The 6,000-nt window shown below is 38.7% G+C and overlaps 1 protein-coding gene across 1 annotated transcript in view; it reads right to left on the bottom strand.

Moving 5' to 3' along the window:
• Positions 1,279–6,000, bottom strand: part of DDX10 (DEAD-box helicase 10) — a 275,859-nt gene continuing 271,137 nt past the window's right edge. Inside the window, exon 18 of the mRNA NM_004398.4 lies at positions 1,279–1,960. Within this exon, the coding sequence (NP_004389.2) occupies positions 1,783–1,960 (178 nt within the window). The 3' untranslated portion in view covers positions 1,279–1,782. The remainder of the gene's footprint in view (positions 1,961–6,000) is intronic.

The following is a 6,000-nucleotide window of genomic DNA, read 5'->3' as shown; positions in this document are numbered from 1 at the left end:
ATTGTATGATAGGCACTGTAATATAATAGAAGGAACAGCTGGAGAGAAGTGTGCTGAGATCCATGTGCTGTGAAGAGAATTCTGAGCACCAGGGGAAAGCTGGGTAGGAGAAATGTGAGAGCAGAGGGACAGTGGCCAGGCAGATCTTGCAGGGGTCTCAGCAGATCATGATGGGAGAATGAACTCTGACTAAAGGCAGCAGCTGTGAGAATAGGGAAGAAACAACGGATAAGAACGTTGTGGCCGGGCACGGTGGCTCACGCCTGTAATCGCAGCACTTTGGGAGGCTGAGGCGGGCAGATTACCTGAGGTCAGAAGTTCAAGACCAGCCTGACCAACATGGTGAAACCCCGTCTCTGCTAAAAATACAAAAAATTAGCCGGGCATGGTGTTGGGCGCCTATAATTCCAGCTACTAGGGAGGCTGAGGCAGGCGAATAGCTTGAACCCAGGAGGTGGAGGTTGCAGTGAGCTGAGATCATGCCGTTACACTCCAGCCTGGGCGACAAGAGCAAAAATCCGTCTCAAAAAAAAAAAAAAAAAAAAAGTTACAGAAGAGGCATCAAAAGAACTAGTAAAGAAAAGAGTGGGAAGAGCGAGAAGCTGAGGTGTCACCTGATTTCCTTTTGATGGTGAAATGATGTTGGTGCGGGCTCACGAGGATATCAAATAAAAGAGGAGAAACTTTTCTGAGACAAACATGGACTTAGGCTGAGTTGAAAAGGTTTGAGATACCCAGGTGTAATGCCATCATTCCTCTTCCTTGTATTTATAATTTATTTGCCCCTGTTACTGAAAATGTTTGTGCACGGAGTGGGAAAATAGGAAAGGGACAGAATCATGAGAAGGTGGCAAATCTATAAAATCAGTTTCACGTCAAGACTCATTTCTTTACCATATTCTTTCCCCTTGAAGAATCTGAGTTATTTGTAACAAAAAAGAGGCTCTGTCTTGTTTTGCATCGTACTCATTACCAGGAGCTGAGTCTGGGTGGGGCTCTGTGGTAGGTGCTGACTGGAGCACTTGCAGAGGACCTGCAGCTACCATGTGCACAGTGAGAGGCCATGTTTTAGTCAGTCTTCATATTCAGAACTTCTACCGATTTTATAAACAATTGCTAGCAAACCTGCAAGTGTTAAGTTAAATGATATCCTTGAGAACAGGCTAACTTAAGAATATGACAAATTCACAGTTTGAGGAAATGGCCAAGCACTTTAATCTTAAGAACCTTCCTGTGAGAGGTCTCTTATGTTACTGGACACAATGCAAACATTAATACTTTCTTTTATAGGAAATATGTTTATTATTGATCATCTCAATTCAAAAATACTCATTCTTTCTCAGGGCTGGTCCATCATAGTCTCTTTGAAAATATTAAATACGTCGAAATCATGAGCAATTTTAACAGCAACAGAAACTTCTGTACAGTAAGCAAGACAGGGATTTCTAACAATGACACAAGAGCTCCAGAACTTGCCAGTAAGACAAAGGCAGTGTTTCCAATGACAAGGCGTAGGAACCCATGGATAAAAATCTAACAGAACACATGCTGGAAAACGGGGTCAGGAAATGGTATCATCCACCCTCGATCTGAGTATGCTCAGTGATGGCACAAAGCATGTCCTGTGAGAGGGACTTGGAGATACGATCGCTTCTATCCAGAAATGTGCCCTTTGGGAATGGGGCATATGGTACCTAAGTGCCCCCAAATCAACTGTTTTTCAACTTCTTGCCTACGCAGTCATAACCAAGGTTTCAAGGAGAAGGCAGGCGCAGGAAGTATTTAGCTTTGACTTCTTAGCAGATGTAACACCAGCTCTTCATCCTCTGCTAAAGACAGGCCGGTATCCAAAGGCTCTAAAGTGTCCCACCTGGCCTTCTTTCTGTTATGACTTGTTGGTCCCACGTCTTCCACTTCACTGTTGCTCCTCTTCTTCATCCCCTGCTTCTTCTTGGTATCACTGGTGAGAAGAAATCCAAAGATTTACTTTAGACTCAGTATGAAATCAAACATTTAAAATAGGACAAAATTAACAGAGAGTTGGTAAAGTGATATTATTCAAGAATGAAGGAAACCATGGCAACATCAAGATATCTGTATAATTAGTAAGTACCTTCCCATCAGTAGCTAGGTCCTACCACGCACCAGGCACATGCAAGGTACTTTGTTCACACTGGGTCATCCAATCTTCACAATCATTCTAGGAAGTTACAGCTGTATCATCCACAATTTGAGGACACTGAGATGCACCACAGGTATGTCTCGCTCCAGTGTGTGCTTGTCCTGCCACACCAAACTACCTCTACTGAAAGTCAGGTTATCTTTAGGTAGCAGTGTGCAAGCTAACAGCTATCTGGACACCAGGTACTGCTTCTAATATCTGTTGCATTAAGTTGTGATCTAGAGAACATGCATAAAATAGAACCTGAGATGTTAAATTACAGATTAGTTAAGACATCAAATAAATTTCCTCCATTTAAAAATCTGTATCAAAGATACAGATAGCCTTAAGAAAGCAAACATTATTGCAGTATTAAGTACATACTCAAGACATAGACCATAAAAACAAAGCTAATTTCTGAAAGTTGAGGAAATCACTTGATATGCTAAAAACAGAAGAAAAAGCAAAACATTCTCCTCAAAGCATTTTGAGATATTATCTGTTCCAAGATGACCCAATTATTGGATATATGATTAAAACAAAATAAAAAGTCCATCTATTAGTAGCAGCAACCATGAATCCAGGGCTTCCTCAGAGTGTGGCACTGCGCTAAATACCTTACATAGATTATGTCATTTATATTCATGGCAACCCTCAGTGTGGAGTGCATTAGTCTCATTCTGCAATGAGGTTAAGAGAGGTTAAATGCCTGGACCAAGATTACACCCATGGGATTCAAACTCAGATATGAATGATACTGAATCCAGCCCCAAAGGCAAGCTTTTGAAAGCAATTAGAGTTGACTCAGTCAACATTTAAATGCCAGGAACTGTGGAAAGAGCACTGGTTTGACATCAACACAGTCAGACCTTTAGTTAACACTTCTAACCCTCAGTTGTCTTATTTGTAAAGACAGGGATTATATAATTTACTTAAAATTGTGAGAATTAAATGAACTTAGATAAATGAGAACACACAGTAGTGCTCAATACACGTTAACTTTCTAAAAACTACTCCCTTTTAAATTCTCACATTCACTATATCTAATCAGCAAAATAAATAAATAAAAAAATCACAGAAATATTACATTATACCCCAAGCACATGATGTGTTCTGAAAGAGAACAAACTGCTCAACTTCCAACGGCCTGGATTACTCTTTAAGAAGACAGCCTGGATATCAAAGTGAATGTGCCTCATCAGCATATCCATTTATGACCAGCTTGATGCAAAACTGGAAATAATTCCTCCATTTTCCTCCCAGAAGTGTCCAATGCTCTGACTCAGCCATTCTCTTTCACCACTGGAGGAAAGACAAACTAGATGGCACTATGAGGTTCTTTAAAGCCACAAATCACTGCATTTTAAAAGAGTGCCTGGAGAGATGAACATGAAAGAGTTCCCTGTGATACAAATTCAGTCAGCAAAGAATTAAAATAATTCTTAGTGAAAGAGGGTCTTAAAAAAAAGTATTGAGCCCTAATCTTTTTATGAGTATGGCCAGTCCTGTGACAGTCCCACAGGGTTATAGTGCCAGGATCTATTTGGTTCAAGGGAATACTGGTATTTGCTCTGCCTATACATCAAGTGCATCTCAGGTCAGCTCATCAGAAATGGCCTAATTAGTGGGCTGTCTATTGCATCCTCTGTTAATGTGCTCCTGCACATTACATGCCCTGCAGGAAATAGGTGGTTTGGATAATAAAAGGTAGAAAATTTATGTAGTCCAAGTATTTTCACAATAGGCAGCTTTGCTGCTCTGTGGATCACTTCAAATTCTAGAAAGGCCCTTTATACTACTTTCTATAGCAAATAAGCAGCAATCTGTATAACAAGTTAATTATTAAACAACAGTATAGGCATTCTACAGACAAATTACCAAAAGGGGGATAATGTAACAAAATAATGAAATATGCAATAATGAAATAATGAAAATGCAATAGAGGTCGAAAAAGGAGTGAAATTAGTGTTCTCCACTAAGCCGAGGGAGGTAAGGAGGTCCCTGAGATGACTGACAATGAGGGGGTTCCTTCAAAATTGGGGCGAGTCCAAGCCTGAGCTCTGCATTTTATCTTCGTGTCAGCACTTCTGTGGGACTTAGATTTTTGCCACATTCTTTAAATGTTCGAGGCAAGGGTCAAAAGCAAACATATCACTGCTCAGCATTAAGACAGTGCAACGTAATGGATAAAGCACATCTTAAAAAGCAAAAGCATGGCTTAACTCAGCACACCAAAAGGCCTACTACTACTATAAAAATCAGAAGTAGGGCTAAAGAATTCAGAGGTAACAGTCTTTCAATAAACCAAATAATAAAGACTTTATTAGTAATGTCTGGTGTGCCATTTAAAGGACATATCATACAACAGAGAAAAAATCATCAAGTAATATGTAATCGGAACAGATGATGACAGGGAAATTCTATTTTGATGATTTTGAAATTTTTGTGAAAATGGATACACAAAAGCTTGTCTTGATAACCAAAGTAACCATCTGAGCCAAACAACTCACTCATTGCTAATAATTAAGAAAACAAGATACAACATTGGAATGTGAATTCAATTTTAAAATTTTTATTTGTAATTGAGTTTTAAATGGAATATAACTTTCTGAATTTCTAAATTTTCTGAAACCCCAAACATCAAAATAATCCGAGAAATTGAACCGATTTTTTAATAGGGTTGATTTCCTGGTTTCACCATTTTAATTTTTTCAGATACTTGTAGTTACACCATCACCCCAGAATAACAGTGTTAATTTCACGAGAAACAAAAGAGCCAGAGGAAAACCTGAAGTTAGAACGTTCAGGTCAGCCTTCCTCCCAGTCCCTCACTCCTCAAGCACGGCCCTCACTCGCGAGATCGGCAGACACTTGGGCATTTCCACGGTGTTTGCTGTAAATGTGGCACCTCCCTCTTCTGGGTCTTCCCCTTGTCCTTCAAGACCCATCTCCAATTCCTTATCTCCCGTGAAAGGTACAAATCTGCCTATTAAAAGTGAGCTCTTCTGAATTGGAAAAGCGCCAATTATCTATCAGTCATTTTGCACCTAAGATTGCTATTTCCTGATACTAAATTGATTTTCTTTTCCAACTGTATGCATCTTAACTCCCAATTAGAATGTAAACTCGTGAGTGGAAAAGTGAATGGGCACAATCTTTCTTGAGGGCATTTTGGCAGTACCCTTCAAAAATCTTTAAAATATATATTCCTGGCAATTTTTCTTCTGGGACGTTATCTGAAGGAAATAGAGATTTAGACAAAGATTTAGGCACAAGGATATTCAAGGGATAGCTACTTTTAATTTCAGAAAGTTAGAAATCCCAAAGTCCAACCATAAAGGATTAAATAGGTTATAAAATTAGAAATGAGATACTATGCAGCTATTAAAAATGATGTTTCAGGAATTGCTTTTGACACTGACAATATTATAAAACCAACACAAAAAGAGAGAGTCCATTTGTATTTTAAAAAGTCTATATGTAAGTTTGCATAGAAAAAGGTTTGGAAGATTTTTTTTAATTTTCTTTTTGCTGTTATATATGTCTTCTCATTTTTCTGTAATGAGCCTGTATTACTCTTTGCAATAAAGAAAAAAATTAAATTTGAAGTTCTGGGTAGCTAGGTATACGTCAATTACTCTTTTTAATTCCACAAGGCTCAGAAGCATACAGAGTAGGTACGCCCTACTACTGCTATAAAAATAAGAAGTAGAGCTAAAGAATTCAGAGATAACAGTCTTTCAATAATCCAAATAATAAAGACTTTATTAGTAATGTCTGGTGTGCCACTGAAAGGACGTATCATACAACAGAGAAAAAATCAGCATGTAATATGTAAT

Source organism: Homo sapiens, chromosome 11, assembly GCF_000001405.40.
Source record: "Homo sapiens chromosome 11, GRCh38.p14 Primary Assembly".
Taxonomy (NCBI): Eukaryota; Metazoa; Chordata; class Mammalia; order Primates; family Hominidae; genus Homo; species Homo sapiens.
The sequence above is the reverse complement of the archived record's forward strand: the minus strand, read 5'-3'. Positions and strand labels throughout refer to the sequence as shown.